This window comes from Homo sapiens, chromosome 5 (genome assembly GCF_000001405.40).
Source record: "Homo sapiens chromosome 5, GRCh38.p14 Primary Assembly".
Taxonomy (NCBI): Eukaryota; Metazoa; Chordata; class Mammalia; order Primates; family Hominidae; genus Homo; species Homo sapiens.
The window spans coordinates 55736297-55761546 of record NC_000005.10 but is presented as its reverse complement, the minus strand read 5'-3'; the positions used below and the strand labels follow the sequence as shown (position 1 = coordinate 55761546).

The window sequence follows — 25250 nt, the reverse complement described above, 5'->3', positions numbered from 1 at the left end:
TACAATGTCCCAGGTAATATAAAGCTAATTGTTTAAAGTATTAACAACTGAGAGTTCTGATCGGAAATTTTATGTGTATTTCAACCTAAAACATGAAAATAATTTGTGGTAAAATCTGCCTCAGTGATGATTTTCTCACTGAAAAAGGTTTTATTCAATAATATTTAGAAGCCTGTATCAAAATATCACATAACCTCTACTAAAATATAATTTTAAAAGATACGTAAATAATAAATATGCTCCTAAATGTAATATTAAAATATTTCTAATTTTAATAGTAGCTAACAAAATCTCATCTGAATCTCTTAGCACAATTACATTGTCCAAATAAACAATGCATCTTAATATGCAGGCTTAAAAACCAATATATATGTGTATATTTGAATAAATCATTTCTATTAGTGGCAGAAACATGTCAAAATATAAAACTCAAATTTGTGTTTATTGTATCTAAAGAAATTAAATTTTCCAAATGTCAAATAAAACATCATGCATCTTTTAGTTTCCACAGCAAAAATATCTGCAAGTCTCAATAGAGTTTTTCAAAAAATAACATCTCATAAATTCAAGAATAAGTGTCAAGTATGTTTAACAAATAGCCCTCGCTATGGCATCCCCTAAAAGATAAAAAAATGACCGTATGGATTTTCAAATAAATTTAACCTGAAGTTCTAATATGTTATTGCACTATAATAAAATATAGCACATATTTCTAGCATGTTAATATTAAGTCTAAAAATGGACTGTAGAAAGGTGTTTTGCTGTGTCATTATCTGTCATATCAGGTGGTTGTTCTAAAAGTAAAATTTAAAAATCCAATAATGGCAAAATAAACTCTTAAAAAATTAATACTAATGAGCTAACAAATGTTTCCTATACTGCCTTTTCTTGAAAAATATAAAATTCAAGAAAGAGTCCCTCTCACCTCTAATCCCTGAAGCTTTTACAAATATTCTTCCCACATCAATTGTTGGAAATCAATATCACAAACACATTAAGCAGCAGCTCTGTGAATCATCCATCCATCCAACCCATCCATCCCTCCAACCAATCTGTCTAATCAACTTAACACTACTCCCTACTATCCCAAAGAAGTAAAACAGAAAAAAGAAAATGAACTTGGAAAAATGATGAACTCATTATCTCAACACCAAGTCTACTACACACTGACTTACAACAGACTTAGCTTTGTACCAAATGGCCATGAAAGCCTCTATATATCCAATTATTCAACAGTTCAGGAGATTAAGGAAAGACAAAGATGCTTACCTCTGTTTCCAAAATTCCGCCCAGAGGCAAATCCACTTTTCATGAAATGATCTCTTCGAGAAGGTCCATCATCCATTTCTAAAGCAAACAACATTTTGAAGTAAGTCAAATAAAAACAAGTATCTAGTACTTGCAAACCTTAAGCCTTCTGTGCCACATGTGGCAAAGGAGAAATTTTATATAGCAGTAAAAAAGGTGACAAACAGCCCAGTAAAAAAAAAAAAAAATGGCTACATGAATAGACAGTTCTCCTAAAGAAAAATAAATTGTGACTAAATCTGATTCATAAAGAACTAGAAATCAAAAGACAGCAATTTTTAACCTCATAATTGAATGGAAAAGTCCCTTCTATTCCCTGAAAGAAAATAACAAAATAAATAAATTTTTAAAAAATGGAAAACAGTCTTAAATTTGCTAATAGCCAGAACAAGGACACAGGGAAACAGGCACGAAACATACACTGTATTTAGATTATAAACTAGATCAATCTTGATCCTAATTTAAAAGGCATATACTCTGAAAGTACAGTAACATGAATTTCTCCTCTGGATATAATCACATGGTTATCCAGACAGACATAAAAAAATTTTTATAAGCACTGTCTGTAATACCAAATAAATGATCAAAGTGGAATAAAGAAATTATGGTCATCCATACAATAGTATGCACAAGGATTCCAAAGAAATATACAGCATTCAACATTAAAGAGCTCACATTCTTCAACAATGGAGAGTGTTTATAAACTGGCCATGTAGAAGGGCCATAATGCAAATTCAACAAGAGTTCAATAATCAATTCATATACATGAGATTCTCTTATCACAATGCAATCAAATCAAAAGCTATTAAATATGAAAAAAATTGTTTAAAATCCCATTTGGTGACGTATTTTTAAAAACATTTCTATATAACCCACAGCTCAAAAAAAAAACTCACAATGGAAGTTTAAAAATACTTCAAATTATATGATAAAAATGTGACTTTATCAGTATTTAAATATTTATACTAGAAAATAAGAACTCAATAAGCTTAATAGCCATCTCAACAAGAATATTAGAAAAACAAAGTAAATCACACAAAAGTAAAGGAAATAAAGAACGAAAATTAATAAAATAGGAAACAGCTTTGGGAGACCAAAGTGGGAAGAGATGCTTGAGGTCAGAAATTTGAGACCAGCCTGGGCAACATAGCAAGACAGTATCTCTACCAAAAAAAAAATTTAAGTAGCTGGGTGTGGTGGTGCACACCTGTAGACCCAGCTATTTAGGAGGTTAAGGCAGGAGGATCACTTGAGCCCAGGAATTCAAGGCTGCAGTGAGTTATTATTAAACCACTGCACTCCAGCCTGGGAAACAGAAAGAGACCTTGTCTGTCTGCCTCTTTTTTTTTTTTTTTTTTTTTTTTTTTTTTAAGGAAACAAACGTAATACAGCAGCTCAAAAAGGCCAAAACTTGGTTCTTCGAAAAGACCTATAAAATTTGCCAGGGTAACCAACTACTAGAGGACTAATAATGGGGGTGAAGGGAGAACAGATACAAAGACACAAGTGAACAGTATTAGAAATGTGTTTAAAAAGAATCTCAAAGAACAGAAAGACAACTAGAGAACTTCTCTGAACAACTTTATGCTAGTAAATTAAAAGAAATGAAAAAGTTCCTAGAAAATTGACTCACCAGAAGTGACTCAAGAATCAATAAAAAACCCAACTCTCCTACAGAAGTTAAATCAGTACTTAATTTTCTGCATCAGAAAGATGCAGAGAGATCGGGTTTTACAGGTGAGTTCTACCAAACTCTCAAAGGACAAATAATTCAACTGTCATACAACTCTTCCAGGAAACAGAGAAATTACTCACCAACTCATTCTACAGACCAACATAACCTTGATATGAAAGTTCAGAAGAAAATTATAAACCTTACTCATAGATACAAAATCTCAAAAACAAATATTAGCAAACCAAACCCAACAGTAAACTGAATGGATAAAATATATTATGACTAATTGGGTTTATCCCAGTATGCAAGGGTATTTAACACTACCATATCTAAAAAAAGGTAACACACAACATTAATAAAAAATAACTAATCTCTCCAGATAAAGTATATTACATAATTTAACACCTTTCATGACTTAACATATACTTAGCAAACTAAGGAATGATGAGAGTTTGTTCATAACAGCAAAAAAGGAAACAACCCAAATGTGCATGAGAATTTTTTTGTTTTGTCTTGTTTGAGATGGAGTCTTGCTCTGTCACCCAGGTTGGAGTGCAGTGGCACAATTTCCGCTCACTGCGACCTCTGACCCCCAGGTTCAAGCAATTCTCCTGCCTCAGCCTCCTGAGTAGCTCGGACTAGAGGCGTGTACCACAATATCCAGCTAATTTTTTTATTTTTTTGTAGAGACAGGGTTTCACCACATTGGCCAAGCAGGTCTCGAACTCCTGGCCTTAAGTAATCCACCCACCTCAGCCTCCCATAGTGCTGGGACTACAGGCGTGAGCCACCGCGCCCGGTGGGTAATGTTCTTAAAATTAGTGGTGGTTCAAAACATTAAGCTTTATGGTTTACATAAGACTTCAATACAGTAGATTTTTTTCATGAAAAGGTCTTCAATAAAGATTCTACAATAAAGTCACAGGGTAACAATTATTCTTGGGAATCCTACCTCTCACTAGTTGGAAAAGAAGTCATTATATGAAAAGATACTTGCAAACGCATGTTTATAGCAGCACAATTCGCAATTTCAAAAATATGGAACCAGCCCAAATGCCCATCAATCAATGAGTGGTGTATATATACACCATGGAATACTATTCAGCCAGAAAAAGAAATGAAATAATGGCATTTGCAGCAACCTGGATGGAATTGGAGACCATTATTCTTAGTGAATTAACTCAGGAATGGAAAACCAAATAGCAGATATTCTCACTCATAAGCAGGAGCTAAGCTATGAGGATGCAAAGGCATAAGAATGATACAATGGACTTTGGGGACTTGGGGAAAGGAGTGCGATGAGGGGTGAGGGATAAAAGACTACAAATTGGGTACAGTGCATACTGCTCAGGTAATGGGTTCACAAAATCTCACGAATCTCCACTAAAGAACTTACTCATGTAAGCAAACACCACCTGTTCCCCAAAAACCTATGTAAATAAAAAATACATAAAAATGATGGTACAAGAGTAGAAGGTTCTAAGAAAGAATTAACCCAGTTTACCTTGTTATTAGCACACAATCCTAAGGAAAATATACAATTATTTCCTTTCCATTTTTTAGTAGTTTTAAATCTCACAGTACTTTCACATGTAAATGTGAAAGTTTACATTCACTTTCATGAATGTAATGATATGCTGTCATTGATATATATCACGGCAATCCCCACAATACATATTATACATAGCAATAAAAATAAATAAGACTCTAATACCAATAAATGATGGAGTATAGATGCTCTTCTTGAATGCTATGAAATCCACCAAAATAAACCAAAAGAAATAAAAATGAAGTCCATTTAAAATGAATTTAGTGTTAGTGTACACAATCCCCAACAACTGACCACAAAGAATATCTCTCAATATAGTTACACTTGGACCAAATCCAAAGAGGCTCAAATATTGAACAAGAACTTAAAAAAAATTCCATATACTAAAACCACCAAGCAAAAGAACCCAATTATGTATGAGACTTCAGTATGCGCTCTAAGACTCTATAATCTTCCAACCTTTCTCCACAGTGATTTGCCTAAACCAGAGTGAGGAAAATTAAAGGAAGATGAGAAAAGACTTAGGGGCAAAGAGTTTTGAAACTATTTAGTGGTGCTTAGGGCTGCCAGCTCTCCTGACTTCTAATCCCTTTCATTACCCCAAGTAGCTGAAACACTAACACTTAGAATTCAGTGTCAAGTCTTCCAAATAGAGACTTCAGAGTGTAACAGTAATGTGCATACAAATTACCTGGTGATCTCATTAAAACACACATTCTGATGCAGTAGTTCTGGGTGCAGTATGAGATTCTTCATTTCTAACAAGTTCCCAGGTGATGCCAATGCTACTGTTCTGCCAATCACATTCAGAGAAGATTTTTATATCCACCGAAAGACATGAATTGGAAAACATTCTTAAGAGAACCACTCATAACAGGCAAATACTGGAAACTATAAAAATGACCATCAATATTTTAATTTACGGTATATTTACATAGGGAATATCATACATCCACAAATAACCTATAACTACTTCTAACAACCTGGAGAAAACCTCAACAAAAAAAGAACACAATGTATGACGCCATTTTATATGACTGCCATTTATAGGGAAAACTGATCTATGCTGTTAGAAATCAGGATAATAGTCACTTCTGGACAGAGGGACGGTGCCTGGAAGAAAAAGGAAGGCTTCAAGGGTGCTGTTAATAATGCTGTTTTTCTTGATCTGAGTGCTGGCTTTCAGGGAGTGTTCAGCTTCTGATAATTAAGTGAGCTGTACATTTATGCTGTGTATCTTACTGAAATACATATTGAATCTATGTGTACATTATGCTTCAATAAAGTTTAAAAAAAAAAAGAATCTGCCCTGGCCTAGACAGTTTTATGAACAAATTCTATACAACTTGTAAAAAAACAGGTAATTTTCATGTTCCGGAGCTTACTGGAAAACATGAAAAGCTTGAAACCAAAACCAAGTGAGGACGACATGACAGAAGAAAACTATACGCCAATCTTACATTAATTCAGAAGTGCTAAATAAAATATCTAATTTCATCCAATAGTACAATAAAAGAGTCACGTAAGGCTTAGCCCAGGAACACAAAGTTCATTTAAAAATTCATTTACTACATTAATAGATATAAGGGAGAAATAATAGAAATCAGTAATTCTAAAAAGCCATTTGATAACATTCAACTGCCATTCCTGAACAAAACAAATATTCAAGTAGAAATGAAAAGAAACTCTCTTGGCATGATTTTAAAAAATAACTATTAGTAGCCTAATGCAAACATCATAATTATAAAAATTTGGGAGCATTCCCATTGAAGTGAGGAAAAGCCTAGATGTTTGTTATTTCTACTACTCGTCAATGAACTGTAGATTTTATCCAATGCTTTAAGACAACAAAGAACAAAATCGTTTAAGAAATGAAATTTGCATCACACATCAACAAGGAAAAGACAGAATGCTTAGATGGTGCTGGAAAAAACTAGGTTGTTATAGGGACAGAAATAAAATTGGATCCCTATTTCTCACCATATTGAAAAAAAGGGATTCAACGGTACATTTAAAAATGGTTACTACCATCAGAGAATACTACAAACACCTCTATGCAAATAAACTAGAAAATCTAGAAGAAATGGATAAATTCCTTGACACATACACTCTCCCAAGACTAAACCAGGAAGAAGTTGAATCTCTGAATAGACCAATAACAGTATCTGAAATTGTGGCAATAATCAATAGCTTACCAACCAAAAAGAGTCCAGGACCAGATGGATTCACAGCCGAATTCTACCAGAGGTACAAGGAGGAACTGGTACCATTCCTTCTGAAACTATTCCAATCAATAGAAAAAGAGGGAATCCTCCCTAACTCATTTTATGAGGCCAGCATCATTCTGATACCAAAGCCAGGCAGAGACACAACAAAAAAAGATAATTTTAGACCAATATCCTTGATGAACATTGATGCAAAAATCCTCAATAAAATACTGGCAAACCGAATCCAGCAGCACATCAAAAAGCTTATCCACCATGATCAAGTGGGCTTCATCCCTGGGATGCAAAGCTGGTTCAATATACGCAAATCAATAAATGTAATCCAGCATATAAACAGAGCCAAAGACAAAAACCACATGATTATCTCAATAGATGCAGAAAAAGCCTTTGACAAAATTCAACAACCCTTCATGCTAAAAACTCTCAATAAATTAGGTATTGATGGGACGTATTTCAAAATAATAAGAGCTATCTATGACAAACCCACAGCCAATATCATACTGAATGGGCAAAAACTGGAAGCATTCCCTTTGAAAACAGGCACAAGACAGGGATGCCTTCTCTCACCACTCCTATTCAACATAGTGTTGGAAGTTCTGGCCAGGGCAATTAGGCAGGAGAAGGAAATAAAGGGTATTCAATTAGGAAAAGAGGAAGTCAAATTGTCCCTGTTTGCAGACAACATGATTGTATATCTAGAAAACCCCATCGTCTCAGCCCAAAATCTCCTTAAGCTGATAAGCAACTTCAGCAAAGTCTCAGGATACAAAATCAATGTACAAAAATCACAAGCATTCTTATACACCAACAACAGACAAACAGAGAGCCAAATCATGAGTGAACTCCCATTCACAATTGCTTCAAAGAGAATAAAATACCTAGGAATCCAACTTACAAGGGATGTGAAGGACCTCTTCAAGGAGAACTACAAACCACTGCTCAACGAAATAAAAGAGGATACAAACAAATGGAAGAACATTCCATGCTCATGGGTAGGAAGAATCAATATCGTGAAAATGGCCATACTGCCCAAGGTAATTTACAGATTCAATGCCATCCCCATCAAGCTACCAATGACTTTCTTCACAGAATTGGAAAAAACTACTTTAAAGTTCATATGGAACCAAAAAAGAGCCCGCATCGCCAAGTCAATCCTAAGCCAAAAGAACAAAGCTGGAGGCATCACACTACCTGACTTCAAACTATACTACAAGGCCACAGTAACCAAAACAGCATGGTGCTGGTACCAAAACAGAGATATAGACCAATGGAACAGAACAGAGCCCTCAGAAATAACGCAGCATATCTACAACTATCTGATCTTTGACAAACCTGAGAAAAACAAGCAATGGGGAAAGGATTCCCTATTTAATAAATGGTGCTGGGAACACTGGCTAGCCATATGTAGAAAGCTGAAACTGGATCCCTTCCTTACACCTTACACAAAAATCAATTCAAGATGGATTAAAGACTTAAACGTTAGACCAGAAACCATAAAAACCCTAGAAGAAAATCTAGGCATTACCATTCAGGACATAGGCATGGGCAAGGACTTCATAGGGCAATGGCAACAAAAGACAAAATTGACAAATGGGATCTAATTAAACTAAAGAGCTTCTGCACAGCAAAAGAAACTACCATCAGAGTGAACAGGCAACCTACAGAATGGGAGAAAATTTTCGCAACCTACTCATCTGATAAAGGGCTAATATCCAGAATCTACAATGAACTCAAACAAATTTACAAGAAAAAAACAAACAATCCCATCAAAAAGTGGGCAAAGGACATGAACAGACACTTCTCAAAAGAAGACATTTATGCAGCCAAAAACCACATGAAAAAATGCTCACCATCACTGGCCATCAGAGAAATGCAAATCAAAACCACAATGAGATACCATCTCACACCAGTTAGAATGGCAATCATTCAAAAGTCAGGAAACAACAGGTGCTGGAGAGGATGTGGAGAAATAGGAACACTTTTACACTGTTGGTGGGACTGTAAACTAGTTCAACCATTGTGGAAGTCAGTGTGGCGATTCCTCAGGGATCTAGAACTGGAAATACCATTTGACCCAGCCATCCCATTACTGGGTATATACCCAAAGGACTATAAATCATGCTGCTATAAAGACACATGCACACGTATGTTTATTGCGGCATTACTCACGACAGCAAAGACTTGGAACCAACCCAAATGTCCAACAATGATAGACTGGATTAAGAAAATGTGGCACATATACACCATGGAATACTATGCAGCCATAAAAAATGATGAGTTCATCTCCTTTGTAGGGACATGGATGAAATTGGAAATCATCATTCTCAGTAAACTATCTCAAGAACAAAAAACCAAACACCGCATATTCTCACTCATAGGTGGGAACTGAACAATGAGATCACATGGACAGAGGAAGGGGAATATCACACTCTGGGGACTGTTGTGGGGTGGGGGGAGGGGGGAGGGATAGCATTGGGAGATATACCTAATGCTAGATGACGAGTTAGTGGGTGCAGCGCACCAGCATGGCACATGTATACATATGTAACTAACCTGCACAATGTGCACATGTACCCTAAAACTTAAAGTATAATAATAAAAAATAGAAAAGAAAAAAATTAATAAATAAATAAAATAAAAATGGTTAAGACAGTAAATTTTCTATTATGTCTAGTTTACCACAGTTCACAAACAAAACTCCTCAATAACTAGAGACCAATGGTCAGGGCTGACCAGAAAAACTTTAGCGTCAAAGATTCCTTTTTTGTGAGTCATTTAGGTATATTCATACTGCATACACTATGTCTTGATTTGACACTCAAATAAATATGGCCACCATGATTCAAAAAGGATGAGTTCAGACGATTAAAAGCTCAATGTGAAAGGCAAAAGTCTAAGGAAGATAATGTAGGAGGCTACTTTTTGACAGAGATGGTGAAGAATTTCTTAAACTACAAAATCAAATCAAGAAGCAAAAAAATTATTTAATAACTTCAGAATTAAATTTTTGATTAATAAGGCATACCATGAACAAAGCTGACAGACAACAGAATGGAAGAAGATATTCAGTGTCTAAATCAGGAAAGAGCCTAAAATCTAGAATATTAACAATGCCTGCCAATCAACAATAGGAAAAGCTAGCTCAATAGACAAATAGACTAAAAATACAAACAGGCAACTTACAAAAGTAGAAACTTACAGAATAACAACATGTATATGAAGAGACAGTCAGATACATGCATAGTAAAGCAATGATGCTGGGCATGGTGGCTCACGCCTATAATCCCAGCACTTTGGGAGGCCAAGGCAGGAGGATCACTTGAGCTCAGGAGTTCAAGACCAGCCTGGGCAACATAGCAATACCTCATCTCTGCTAAAAATTTTAAAAATCAGCCAGACATGGTGGTGCAAGTCTGTAGTCCCAGCTACCCAGGAGGCTGAGGCAGGAGGATTGCTTGAGCCTGGGAGATTGAAGCTGCAGTGAGCTATGACTGCAGCACTGCACTCCAGCCTGGACAACAGAGCAAGGCCCTGTCTCAAAAAACAACAACAAAAAAAAGATTTTACTTTATACCCAAATAGACTGGCTAAAATTAATTAAAATTAAAAATGTCAAATGTTGGTGGGAATATAGGGACTATGAGAACCCTCACATCCTAATGATGGGAGTATAAACTGGTATAGCTATTCTGGAGAGCAATTTTTGAAATATTTAGACAAATTAAGTACATTACTCCTTTCCATAACCCTGTAATTCTACTCGAGTCCACTATCCAAAGTAATTCTCACTCTGGCCCATAAATGAACATATACAAGAATGCCCATCCTATGGTAACAGAGGGGAACAGGAGGTAATCTCAGTGCCTATCATGGAGGAAGAATGGGAGTAGATAAAACTTGGTGATAAAAGTATATGAAATACCACACAGTCATTAGAAATAAGGAAATCAATTATCAATTAGGAATATATCTTAAACAGTGATGAGGGGGAAAAGTAAAAAAAAAATTCTAAGTTAAAAATACACATCAAAATATGCTCAGAAAACACACGTTTAAAAACATACACAGAGCAGTCATGTCCTCCACCCTTCCCTTCTGTGCTGATGCTGCCCGGCTCATGTCAGCCTCTAGCCTGCCTTCAATTAGTTATGGAGTTCCAATGAAGAAATATTTGAGGTTAATGTAGAAATTGCCAAACAATCTATACTATCAAGATCACGTTGGAAGATTTGGGAATGAATGATTGAAGGATATGATGACCCAGTCCTCTACCAAATAATGAAGCAGTATTTTAAAAGGTCATTCAGTGGTGCACCCCCCCATAAAGATGACCCTCCTCCTCCTCCTGAGAATAATGAGAAGAAAAATGAAGAGATAAAAATCCTGTTTGGGACCAGGAATTCCTGAAAATTCACCAAGGAACTCTCTTTGACCTTATTCTAGCTGCAAGCTATTATCAAAGGTTTGTTACATGCAAGACTGCTGCCAATAAGATCAAGGAGAAAACACCTGTGGACATTCCCAAGACCTTCAATATCAAAACGACTTTACTGAAGGGGAGGAAGCCCACGTACACAGAACCAATGGTGTGAAGAAAAGTGAAATGTGCCTGACACTGTAAAGATTGTTCCAAATACTAGTTGCACTGCTTTAGAGTTTATAATTATTAATATAAAAAAGTAGACAAATACAACAGCAAATCGACTGCATTAGCAGAATACTGTCATTGCATGTGTAGTTTGAGTACAGATTCCAAATCTATTGCTGAGTTTTTTCTAGTGTGATTAAAAGTTTTTTTTTTTTTTGCTCTGAATAAAACTGAACTGTGGATTCTCTACAGAAACTGACATTTTGGTATTTCCCTCCTTTTGTAAAGCAATTTCTGCCTAGTTTGTAATCCAGTTAACTTTCGTGGCCTTTCAAAGGGCATTGCAAATAAAACAACTTGCAAAAAGTTTTCTGGGAAAAAAAAAAAAAAAAGACACACACATACAAAAGAATTGCTCCTTTGGGGAAGGGGAGGGCAAAAAATCCCTAAAACTTCCTCCCACAAACAGCTTGTTTCAAATCAAACATGAGTAATAAAGAAATCAGCAAAAGCAACATAGAAGCTGTACAATATAGTGAGGACAGAGTGGGAGGAAGGAAAGGCTGGAACTAGCATATACAGTTACAAAAACTTAAATCTCAGAGACTAGAGGATCCTGCTCTCCCAAACAAAACAGCCTAGCCCTGGCCCAATCACTTGACGGTAGAGCCCATCAGTGCGTCCCTGCACAGAGCTGACTTTCTAACCAGGATTTTAATGATCCACCCTCAAATACAAGGCAGGCAAGGTTCAGCAGAATTTTTTTTTAAGAGACAGGGTTTCACTCCATCAGCCCTGCTGGAGTGCAGTAGTGTGATCAATGCTCACTGTAACCTCAAAATTCTAGGCTCAAGCAATCCTCTTACCTCAGCCTCTTGAGTAGCTGGGATTACAGGTGCACATCACCACGCCCAGCTAATTTTTAAAAATTTTTTGTACAGACAGTGTCTCACTTTGTTTACTTTGTTTCCCATGCTGGTTCTGAACTCCCAGTTTCAGGCAATTCTCCCACCTCAGCCTCCCAAAGCAAAGGGATTACAGGCATAAGCCACTACACCTGCCTCCTATTGACATTTTAAAGCCAAGTAATGTGAAATTGTTTTCGCTTAATTTTGGAAATAATCAGATAATACCAGTTGTTTAGAAGGGTTTCCATGACTATTAAATAAAAGCAAGATGTGATATAACACGATTCCATTTCTATAAAATACAGAATGAAAAGACGCATGTCTAAATACAATTTTAAGAGCATGAAAAGGGCATGGAAGGTAAGCATGGGTAAGCAAAGGAAAAACAAGACAAGTATTTATAAAAAAGGAACATATGTATTAATATATTATGCCAGTGGCATACGATCATGTATGTGGGAATATACACAGGAATCTAAAAAATCAGAGTCAATAGACATCAATGGTAGCTAAATTTAGGGGCTAAGATTTCATATTTTATTTCTCCCTTTTTCCTTTTTTTTAAAACAATAAGCATATTTAGGTATTGGCTTGGCTTACATTCACTGTCCTGGTTTATATTTCTCTAATAAGAAAATTTTCATAAAAAAATAAAAAATTATGAAGAACTACAAAAAGTACTTGTTATCTAGAAGAAGGTAAGCAGGCAATCAATATTTTTCATTAGTGATTTTCATTAATGATTTCATTTCATTAGCCTAAACATTCATAGGTCTAATGCTAAAAAAAAAAACTTAGCTTTTAGTTGGTGGTTATTTCAGTCTAGTTTCTTGAAAATTCCAATACAAAACAGTGTTATGCGTTAATATACTATAGACCTAAACTTTCATTCCTTTACAAATATTGGCTTCTGTTCATACCTCAAAAAACCAGGTTTCTCCTGATTACACAGCAATCGATGTAAATAGACATGTTAAAAGGTATCTATTACGTTTATCCATTTGTCTTTCTGGAATACTCTAAGTACACACAGAGTTTATATGGTAGAAGCAAAATTAGCCCTTTGCTGGGGTTTCAGCAGGCAGGATTCCAAGAACTTCTGAGAATCTGAATATTTCTGTATTAAACCACTGTGTTTAAATGCTTATAAAAGATAAACATATTTTGAAAATAGCAAAGTCATCTCTTTTAAACTTAACTTTTGTCAAGATATTTACCCTGAACTTAAGATGCTCATGAGAATTAGATTTGCTTTAACCTGATAAACTGACTCTCAAACTATCCTCACATTTTGGAAACTACCTCACCATGGGTGTTTTCCACCATAGGCCAGGTTTCAGTGAGCATGCAGCTCCCTTGACCATAAAATGTTTTACCTCATCTACTAATTTTTTATAAGAAAAATGATAAAATTACTACCTGATACCACCAGGCCCTCTTCCTTATGCTAGTCTGCCTTAAAAATAGTAGTAACTCGATTTAGAGACTCATAGTAAAGTTATAGTAACTCAAATTCACCGGAAGTAGATGGTGGTTGCCAGGATCAGGGGAGAGGAGGAAATGGGGAGTTATTTTTCAATGAGTACAGAGTTCCAGTTTGGGAAGACAAGAAAGTTCTGGGGGTAGATGGTGGATGATGGTTACAGACTAATGAGACTGTACTGAATGCTGCTGAACTGTACACATTAAAATGGTAAATCTTATGTATACTTCATCATAGTTTTTTAATGTTTTTGTTTTGTTTTTAGAGACAGGGTTTTGCTCCATTGCCCAGGCAAGGGTGCAGTGGCATCATCATAGTTCACTGTAGCCTTGAACTCCTGGGCTCAAGCAATCCTCAACCTGCCAAGTAGTTAGGACTACAGGCACAGGCCACCATGACCAGCTAATTTTTAATTTTTTTTGTTTTTGTTTTTTGAGACAGAGTCTCACTCCATCTCCAGGCTGGAGTACAGTGGCGTAATCTCGACTTACTGCAACCTCCACCTCCCGGGTTCAAGCGATTCTCCTGCCTCAGCCTTCCGAGTGGCTGGGACTGCAGGCATGCAGCACCACACCCTAATTTTTGTATTTTTAGTAGAGACGGGGTTTCACCATGTTGGTCAGGATGGTCTCAATCTCTTGACCTTGTGATTCACCTGCCTCAGCCTCCCAGAGTGCTGGGATTACAGGCATGAGCCACCATACCCAGCCTAAATTTTCTGTAGACAAAGACTCCAACTATGTTGCCCAAGCTGGTCTCGAATGACCTCAAATGATCATTTGATCTCCTGGCCCCAAATGGTCTTCCTACTTCGGCTTCCCAAAGTGCTGGGATTACAGGCATGAGCCAGAGTCCGGTCAAAATTATTTTAATATAGTAACAATTGCATTTCATCCTGTTTTGGACTTCAACAATGTGAAAAACTACTGCCATGAGTTCAATTTCCCAGCCTAGTCCTACCACTTCCACCCATCTTCCCATCTACATCCACTCTGTAAAATAGAGTTGGACAACCCAAGGGGAAAAATGATGGTGGGAGGGGCAACCAAAGTGAAAACAAGTTCAGAGTGGGGTTGGGAGGAGGGCGCAACAGGAAGGATATGGGTTCCTTTACCTTGACACGTTTTTATTGTTCTCCTAAGACCTTTCCCAAATTAGTTTTCTGATCCCAAAGAAACTCAAGATATCCTGATGGTATGACAGATTTGGCTTAAACAGTTATTATCCTGACAGGTCATCACCATTGTAACCTGCTTCGACAACCTTATAGTCCTATATTCTACTCCCTTATGTCAGGAACCCTGATGATGATGATGCCCTAGCAGCCTGGAAGCTGAATGTGCAACTTCCAAGTTAGGCAAATGTTTTATAGTAATCCATTAAATCAAATAATACAGTCTATTCTTTTCCCTCTCTCAATTCCTCTAACTAGAAGTACCCCCATTCCACAATATCCAAATCAGAAGGAACTTTCACTAAGAAATTTTTTAAAACACCCTCTACAAGATGTCTACTAGTCTGCTGCTCTTCATTCACTAGATGAAACCCTTAAACTAAAAAGGGTTTTACCTTTTTCCCATAACACATACCTGATGATGAAGCTGGAGTCCTGTTAAAATTGTCTCCATTTTCTCCAGAATACCTATCCTGTGAGAAAGAAGAAAGAAAAAACTAGTTTCCTACTTTGAATATGAACGTGTCATTTATTTCACAAATACTAGAAAATTATAACAATTGAGCTTTGTTCAGAACAAAATAATGATAGACTGTAAGGTTTTCTAAATCACTGGATGTTCCTTTACTAATTATTCCAAGACATCTTCACTTTAACACTGTATATATAGTACTAATATATATCAATAGAACAGTGGTCAGAAAACTACAGCCACCAGCCAAATCTGGTGGGCCACCTGATTCTGTAAAGAGTTTGATTGAAGTACTACAACAGCAAAGTTGTGACAGACAGGTAAGGCCTATAAAGTCTAAATTATTTATTATCTGGCCCTTTATAGAAAGGGTTTGCTGACACCTGACTTAAAGTAAAAGTTTAGTCATTTAAGTCACCCATATTCCTGAAAAGTACAATCAGGCTGGGTGTGGTGGCTCTCGTATGTAATCCCAGCACTGTGGGAGGCTGAGGCAGGAGGATCACTTGAGCCCAGGAGTTCAAGACCAGCCGGGGCAACATGGTGAAACCCTAGCTTTACTAAAAATACAAAAAGTTAGCTAGGTGTGGTGGCATGAGCCTGTAGTCCCAGCTACTCGGGAGGCTGAGATGGGAGGTTCACTTCGCCTGGGAGGCAGAAGTTGAAGTGAGCTGAGATCACACCACTCACTCCAGCCTGGGTAACAGAATAAGACCGTCTCAAAAAATAAAAATAGAAAAGAAAATATAATAAAATATCATTATAAAATCTGACAAGTAATACATGAATAAATCAACACTGGTCAATACACACTATTGTATGCCAAGTTCCATATATTACAGTATATTCATCAATATTACAGAGTATTAGTGATTTAACACTAATCTTTGCTCTAGAAAAGTACTACAGAAATTTTTAAAATCTCTACTGCATTTATAGTGAAACCAATTAATGGTACTCTCATGTTTTAAAAAGGAATTCACTGGCCGGGCTCAGTGGCTCACACCTGTAATCCAAGCACTTTGGGGAGGCCAAGGTGGGCAGATCACCTGAGGTCAGCAGTTCAAGACCAGCCTGACCAACATGGAGAAACCCCATCTCTACTAAAAATACAAAATTAGCCTGGCATGGTGATGGGCGCCTGTAATCCCAGCTACTCAGGAGCCTAAGGCAGAAGAATCGCTTGAACCCAGGAGGCAGAGGTTGTGGTGAGCCGAGATCGTGCCACTGCACTCCAGCCTGGGCAACAAGAGCAAAACACTGTCTCACACCATCTCAAAAAAAAAGAAAAAAAAGGATTCACTGTAAAGTAAATTCACTTATGGACTGGAAACAATTTATATATGCAACCTGCCACTGCACTACAACTACAATGAAAAGGTATATCCTCAGCTGTAGCATCAGAATATTCATGGTTAATTTTAATCACATTTGTCACAGCAGTAGCTGAAGACTGTCTTTGCTCCCAAATACTAACTGTTCACTTTCCCTACTTTAGGCTAAAGAAAATCATTTACTATTAACACACATGCATTACATTAGCAGTGGTAGAATGACTGCCAGATTTAGAAAATTCAACTTATTATAAAATCAATAGCTGAATGCAGGTTAATTTTGGAACCTTCCAACATTTCTCTGGATAGCTCTAGATTAATGACAATTTGAGTAATTTTTTTCTCACTAACTCTTAGGGTGTCCTTATCATCATTAATCCACATCTTTATTTCTTCTCACGTAAACTTCCTTTAATTATGGCAAAAGTTCAGAATACGGCTCTGAAATTCTTGCACATGACAATCAGAATTTAATAATTTAAGAATGAAAGGAAATCTACAGATGATCTCTTAATCAACTAACTATATTACAACAGTTACAATGTTCCTTCAAATAAGTTCATTTAACTAAGTCCCAAACCTAGAGAGAATGCACCAAGGTAGGCTTCTTTAGGTAACATCTATTTGCTAAAATTTCTTTCTCAAAGACACTGACTTTTAAAACTACTTTTAAAAAGCTCAAGAGTCATCCAAACATTTTTCCGAGTCATCATTAAGGGCACAAAAATAACAACATACTTGAAATGACTTGGGGTTTTGGTAATTGCTACAGTAAAAAAAAGTTCCAGTTTATTACTACCACAGACATTAAAACAAGAACAATTATCCAATATTTTCTATTTAAAATCTGAAGACTTTTTTCTTGTTTGTAAGGCTCAAAGTACTATAGAGTGAATAGAGGCAAAAAAAAAAAAAAAAAGGCTGGTTTTACAAGTGTTATAAAACACTCTTACACTAAAGAACTGAAAAACTTATTATTAAGCTTCAAGCTATGGAACTTAATATCCCACATACATCCAACTTACAAATTCCAAGATGAATTTTGAAAAAATACATCAAAAATAATTTCCAACAGAATTTTATCATTAAAAAAGCTTAACTGGTTGGGCGCGGTGGCTCACGCCTGTAATTCCAGAACTTTGGGAAGCCGAGGCAGCCAGATCACCTGAGGTCAGGAGTTCAAGACCAGCCTGTCCAACATGGTGTAACCCCATCTCTACTAAAAATACAAAAATTAGCCAGGCATGGTGGCGGGCACCTGTAATCCCAGCTACTCAGGAGACTGAGGCAGGAGAATCGCCTGAACCCAGGAGGTGGAGCTTGAAGGGAGCCGAGATTGCGCCACTGCACTCCAGCCTAGGTGACAGAACAAGTCTCTGTCTCAAAAAAGAAAAGAAAGAGAGAGAAAAGGGGTCACAGCAGATGAAATTAAGTTAAAGATTTTGAGATGAGATTACCCTGGATTATCGGCATGAGTCCTAATTGCCATCACAAGTGTCCTTATAATAGAGAGGCAGAGGGAAATAACACAAAGACCCACAAAGGAGGTGCAATGTGAAGACAGAGCTAAGAGATATGCAGCCACAAGCCGAGGAATGCCCTTAGCCACTAGAAGCTAGAAGAAGCAAAGATTCTGTCCCAGAACCTCCAGAGGGAGGGCAGCGCTGCTGACACCTTGATTTTTAACTTCAGGCTTCCAGAACTATGAGAATAAATTTATGTTGCTTTAAGTTACCCAGTTTGTGTTAATTTGTTATAGCAGCCACAGAAAACTAACACATTGGCCTTCTTGTTGCCCTAATACCCCAAGTTTGTTCCCTCCTCCTTCTCAAAGGTTCCTTGAGAACCTTTGCACCTGATGTCCTGCTGGGACTCCTTTAAGTCTCAGGCTCATGAGTCACTGTCTGAGAGAAGCCTTCCCTCTCCAACTAAATCCACCCCACACCAGTCTCACACACACATTTCTCTAATTTTTTATAGTACTTTTCACTATAATTATTTGGTTCTCAAACGCGCTTATTCTGTCTTCTCCAGTAAAATACAATGTAACAGCAAGCACCTTATATTCACCACTCTCTCTCCAGCACCTACTAGAACTCAAAAATATGTTGAATGAATCATAGGTCTTGTCTTTAGCTTACCTCTTAAAATACTTAGCTGTAAACCATTATTATCTCTCAAACCACCCAAATGCACCAATTCAGAAATTTCGAATGTTTAACACATAAGTGTTCTCACATGCAGCTACAAATAATCCTTTTGCATTTTGATGAACACATTTTTTTCACCTGTATTCTTACTTTCAATTTTGTAATATCATATATATGTTTATTTTCTTATCTCAACAATTATTGCTAACATTGCTACTGCTGCTTAATAAAATTATAATTGTGGATGGTCTAATTACTCAATTACTGTTTCCACTTTAACCACAAGAGATTTTGCCTTCTGAAATGTGCCACAAAAATGGCAAATAGATCAGACAGAAGTGATCACTATACAGGCTTACATTCACGGTCAGTTAACAAGAGGCCTCACAGCTAGTAAGTAAGCAACGGAATTATCTAATACACTCACCATACCCATCCATTCTAACACTCACCCCAATAAGCCTGCAGGCAACGTGCAAATGCCTAATGGTTGAGATTTCTGGACTATATAATTGCCACATTATAAAATCTTTCTTAACTTCACATCTTTCGCTGTTCTATTCCCAGGTGGTACACTCACTTTAAAATTTAGAATTGAGAAGTTCTACCCAAAATTCTATCTGTTATACTAGAACAATGACAAATTATTTCAAAATTATATAAGCGTATGTCAACATTAAGTCTCCAAATAAAGCTCCTGAGAAGCACTCAGAAAAGGATGATCACAGATAAAGCCGCTATAAAAGAGAAGGCCAGCTTTTTCTTGAAAACCAAATTCAGTTAGAACAAATCAAAATGGTGTCTTTAAAAGAAACGGAATGAAAGACTTTAGATTTGTTCTACATAAAAATGTAATGTATTCATCTCTAGTTTCTGCACTTTTTTTTTTTTTCAGACAGAGTCTTGCTCCATTGCCCAGGCTGGAGTGCAGCTGCCCGGACTTGGCTCACTGCAGTCTCCACCTCCCAATTTCAAGAGATTCTCCTGCCTCAGCCTCCCAAGTAGCTGAGGCTACTGGCGTGTGCCACCACTCCCAGCTAATTTTTTGTATTTTTAGTAGAGAAGGGGTTTTGCTATGTTGGCCAGGCTGGTCTCGAACTCCTGGCCTCAAGTGATCTGGCTGTCTCAGCCTCCCAAAGTGCTGGGATTACAGGCATGAACCACCGCACCTGGCCATCCTGCACTTTTTATTCAACCTAGGAAGGCAAATAAAGATCCTGATTGCACCATGTTCCTTCGAGTCAACTAAGCATAGAACTAATGGCACAACCAGCACAACACCAGGTGTTAAGTTTGCAGACAAATGCAAAAGATACACTACAAATTCACCCAACACAAATGTATTAAGCATCATAAGGTAGACTGGTCAACATATTCAATTTAGTATTCCCAATGTGAAGAAACTATGTTATTGAATAGCATAAAGATCCCAAAAAGGGAAATTTGAAAGATTTGACAGTCATCCTTAATTTCAGAAACCCAATGCAATAAATATGCACAACACGCTATAGTGCAGTGTGCTGCTTAAACACTTCATGAAGACAAAAATCTCAAACTAAGAAAAAAGAAATTGGACAGATGGCTATTAAGACCAGGGGGAATAAAGTATCTATCTGTGAATTAAACTTTGTGTTATAACAAATCTATTGAGAACAAGGAGGAAAAAGAATGATAAAAAATGTCCTCTGAACAAGTAATTCCATTTTTGAAAAAAATTACCAAATTAAAACAAGTAAGATGTAAACATTAATGACAATACACAGTGAGAAGCTAACACCACTGAAATTCCCACAAAAGTTGTAATATGGAATAGTTAGTGCTGAAGTGTCAAGAAAGATGGATTCAAAAGTTACTGTTATATGGCTGGGTGTGGTGGCCCATGCCTGTAATCCCAGCACTTTGGGAGGCCAAAGTGGGAGGATCACCTGAGGTCAGGAGTTTGAGACCAGCCTGGCCAACATAGTGAAACCCTGTGTCTACTAAAAATACAAAAAAAAAAAAAAAAAAATTAGCGGGGCGTGGTGGCACACACGTGTAGTCCCAGCTACTTGGGAGGCTGAGGCAGGAAAATCGCTTGAACCTAGGAGGCAGAGGTTGCAGTGAGCTGAGACTGCACCACTGCACTCCAGCCTGGGCAATAGAGTGAGACTCCATCTCAAAAAAAAAAAAAAATTACTGTTATATACTATCATCAAAACTATATAAAACATGTTTGGGCTGGGCACGGTGGCTCATGACTGTAATCCAGCATTTTGGAAGGCCCAGGTGAGTGAATCACCTGAGATCAGGAGTTCAAGACCAGCCTGGCCAACATGGGGAAACCCCATCTCTACTAAAAATACAAAAATTAGCTGGGCGTGGTGGCATGCGCCTGTAGTCTCGCTGAGGGAGGTTGAGGCAGGAGAATTGCTTGAACCCAGAAGGCAGAGGCTGCAGTGAGCCCACACTGCATGAGTGCACTCCAGCCTGGGTGACAGAGCAAGACACTGTATCAAAAACAAACAAAAAATGTTTGGAAAAAACAGAAGAAAATTGACTAAAAATTTTAACAGGAGTGCTTGTCTATTGGGCAAGATTTGTAGGTGACTTTCTCCACTTTTCCCAAAAAAGCTATATTTTTATTATGAGAAGAGAACTATAAAAAGATAACACAGTCCAGGTGCAATGGCTTGCGCCTGTAATCCCAACACTTTGAGAATGTCGCCTGAACTCAGGAGTTGGAAACCAGTCTGGGCAATATAGTGAGACTTCATCTCTACAAAAATTTTAAAAAATAAAAAAAAAGGTAACATGTTATTTCTTTTAAAAAGTTCCAAGAAAAGAAACATGATAAATTTATATTAGTATTTTGGGTATTTTAATATAAACTTCACATATAGATCAAATTCAACTAAGACAAAAGATTGCATATTTTATATTTTTGTCTAAAATAAGAACTTCCACTAAGGCAAAACTTGAAATCAGAAAGTGTCAGAACTGACATACACTCAAACTGGAAATTCTGAAGGGGAACAAAAAAATCAACTTGTAGAGACACCATATAGTAAGTAACACATGCAAAAATAATCTATTATCTTTTAAAGTACCTTCTATTCATCTTTTTAAAGCCAATTTCCAAGTCAGAACTGAAGCCCAAAAAACTTACCCCACTGTCCCCTAAATTACAATGTAACTCCCCAAATGCCATTAAGAAAAAAGATCTGAAGATTCATACAAACTGATGTTACCAACTCAATCAGCCTAGTATCATTTATCCTGAGAACCCTCCTTGCACAAAATCAATTTTCAGAATTTAAAATATCTCCCAAAACGTAATTATTGTTTTCAATTTTCCATACAAGCGTCTTTCACTGATATCAACCACATTTGCCCAAGTTTGCTTTCACCTGAGGAAGTCCTAAATCATTGAGATTTAAATTAGGTCATTAATATTTTTACATCTATTTTAGCTTTTAATTATCAAATTGCCTCAAGCTATTGTATCCTATACGAGGCTTAGGTTGTCTCTTATTCCCCATATAATAGTTAATAACAATCACATGGAGATAAACACTGACACAGACTGTATAATTTAGAACTCTCACCACAGTGATTTTCAACTTTGATAAAATCCGTAGCATTTAATAACTAAACTTTAAATGTTATTACCTTCTCAAATATGGGAACATAGGAAGACATATGAGGGTTGATTTCTGCTTCCCAATCTTCATCTCCCATGGTGGCTTCAAGTTCTATTCATAAAAAAAAAAAAATGCACATTTGGACTCAATTAGATCAGAATCATAACTTTAAAAGCATAAACTCATTGTTTCACATACATCTTGAAACTACCCAACTAGGTGCTGATACCCCAAAAGTTTTTTCCAAAGAAGGAATTAGGTCTCTTCTTATCTAAAGGTGGCATTTATCTCCATCCTTTCTTAGCTTTAGAAACTAGTTGAACCTCTTACCTAGTCATTCTAGCAATCGCCATGTCCCCAGCAAGACTTAGGCTTTTCCCAAACATCTGTTCATAGACTTTATCTCCTCCCTCAAAGGGTCCCCAAACGACTTACTGAATATTAAGGGAGAGGCAACTTTTTTCAGAAACTACTTAAGATTTCTCCCTTCGCATGATTAACATCCAAGGTGGATAGGATGTTTGCTTTGGGGTGTTTGTGGCGTGCGTGGGGGCGGGGACAGGGGTACGGGAGTCGACTGGGTAGGGGGGCGGCGACTCGGTGAAGAGGGAGGCCTTGGATTTTAGTGGGGAAGGGAAGAAGGGTATGGTTGCCCAAATCCTGCCGACAAAGGACAACCAGCTTCATCAAGAAGGATTTGTACACAAATGGTACTCGGACCATGTCTGTTCAGAGAAAACGCAGTGAAGAAGCCAGGAATAAGGCCCCTTCGCCTCCTCTGCAGGCCTCAAGCCCAGACTTTGGGCACCCGTGGGACTCTGAGACCCCGAGGCAGAAAGGCTTCGAAGGACGGCTTCAAAACTCCTCCTACTCCATCCACACTTTGGCCAAAGGTCGGTTACTGGGGAGCCCGTACGGCCGAGTTCAGGCCAGTTCCCGTAGAAAAGCGGCCCACTCACCTCTCCGCGGCTTGCTCTCCCAAGCCCTCGCAGGCGCCCACGCGACTTAAACGGCTGCACGTGCAAGACGCCCACTGCGTCAGGTGCGTGGCTCCAACAACAAATGGCGTCTGTTGACGATTGGCTGGTGACTAGCGCCACCAGCCAATCAGCGCTCAGACGACCAGTGGCGTCCCGCCTCCACTTCTAGCCTGCGGATTCCCTAAACGCTAGCGTTCGGGCCCCTATGGCGACGCTCTGGCCTCATAGCCAAGTGGCCTGTTGGGCCTGTGGGTACAAGGCTGGCTGAGGGCCTACTTGTGTCCACGTTCTCTCGTGGGATCCTTATTCTGGAGACGCTCTGGATTTTCCTTGTGCAAGCTTCGCAAGCTAAATATGTCCACCTGCCTTTTTCTAACAAAAAATAATAATAAAAGGGGAAAGGGATAATGTCCTCCCTACTTGGCCTCTTTAGTGCTCTCTCCCCTTTTACCCATCACAGTCCATGGGTTGGCCCCTCGGGTTCTGCATTTCAGAGACTCGCTCCACATCCGGGGATTCCAGGTGCCTCAAAGTGCAGCTGAGGCTCATGGAGGAGGTGCATTCCCTTTTCCTCCCAGTAAGGGGGGCAGGGATGAGACTCCGTCCAGCTGGGACCCCAGGAAATCGTAAAGAAAGTTAGACTCGGCTGGGCATGGTGACTCACGCCTGTAATCCCAGCACTTTGGGAGGCCGAGGCGGGCGGATCACATGAGGCTAGGAGTTCGAGACCAGCCTAGCCAACATGGTGAAACCCCGTCTCTACTAAAATTAAAAAAATTAGCCGGGTATGGTGGCGGCTGCCTGTAGTCCCAGCTACTCAGGAGGCTGAGGCAAGAGAACCGCTTGAACCCGGGAGGCAGAGGTTGCAATGAACCGAGATCATGCCATTGATCTCTACCTGGGCGACAGAGTGAGACAGAGGAAAAAAAAAAAAAAAAAAAAGCCTGTAAGATTTCGGGGGTCCACCACTTTGGAAGGAAACAGGCTCTGATCCAGAAGGAGGGAGGAAATTGGTGCTGGCATAGGTCATTCATCAAGGCTTGGATTTGTGGCCCACCTGTTTATATTCCTACGGGCACTAGCCAAAGTGGCCAAGGGTTATTTTGATACTTCATGCTGTCTTCAATCAGATTTTCTTGTTCTGCCCCCACCCCCCACCCCAAAAGCAGGTAAAATCCCTCAGTATTTCCCCAGCCCTTCAAAACGCGTGACCATGGGCTGTTTTAAAAGTGTAGTTCTCAGAGGCCGGGCGCGGTGGCTTACGTCTGTCTGTAATCCCAGCACTTGGGGAGGCCGAAGCGGGCGGATCACGAGGTCAGGAGATGCAACCATCCTGGCTAACACGGCGAAACCCCGTCTCTACTAAAAATACAAAAAATTAGCCGGGCGTGGTGGCGGGCGCCTGTAGTCCCAGCTACTCCAGAGGTTGAGGCAGGAGAATGGCGTGAACCCGGGAGACGGAGCTTGCAGTGAGCCGAGATCGCGCGACTGCACTCCAGCCTGGGCCTCAGACCGAGACTCCGCCTCAAAAAAAAAAAAAAAAAAAAAAAGTGTAGTTCTCATTTTTGTTGTCGTTTCTGTCATTTTCCCTTCTCTGAATCTGAAGAAATTCCTATCTCATTCAGGAACATAAATAGCAACACAGTTTGATACTGGTACATAAAGGATAAAGCACTTAATAGGCTCAGGCTTGCTTCATACTTTTTATCTCTAGAACCATCACCACCAAGAATTTCAGGATTCATCTAGTTAGCAATAAACTTTGTCAGACTATTCTCAAGATG

The 25250-nt window shown here is 38.3% G+C and overlaps 1 protein-coding gene and 1 pseudogene across 6 annotated transcripts in view; one reads left to right on the top strand and one right to left on the bottom strand.

Moving 5' to 3' along the window:
* Window positions 1-23486, bottom strand: part of DDX4 (DEAD-box helicase 4) — a 79097-nt gene extending 55611 nt beyond the window's left edge. For 5 of the 6 annotated variants that reach the window (NM_024415.3, NM_001142549.2, NM_001166533.2 and 2 more), the window contains exons 1-4: window positions 23446-23486; window positions 22515-22597; window positions 15326-15383; window positions 1270-1347 (exon numbers count right to left, since the gene is read on the bottom strand). In NM_024415.3, coding sequence (NP_077726.1) covers window positions 1270-1347; window positions 15326-15383; window positions 22515-22583 — 205 coding nt within the window. In that variant the 5' untranslated portion in view covers window positions 22584-22597; window positions 23446-23486. Of the gene's footprint in view, window positions 1-1269; window positions 1348-15325; window positions 15384-22514; window positions 22598-23206 lie in introns of all 6 variants that reach the window. The other variant, XM_024446119.2, reaches the window with a different exon arrangement.
* LOC107986371 (S-phase kinase-associated protein 1-like) lies at window positions 9476-11359 on the top strand (annotated as a pseudogene).
* Window positions 23487-25250: the final 1764 nt, after the last annotated feature.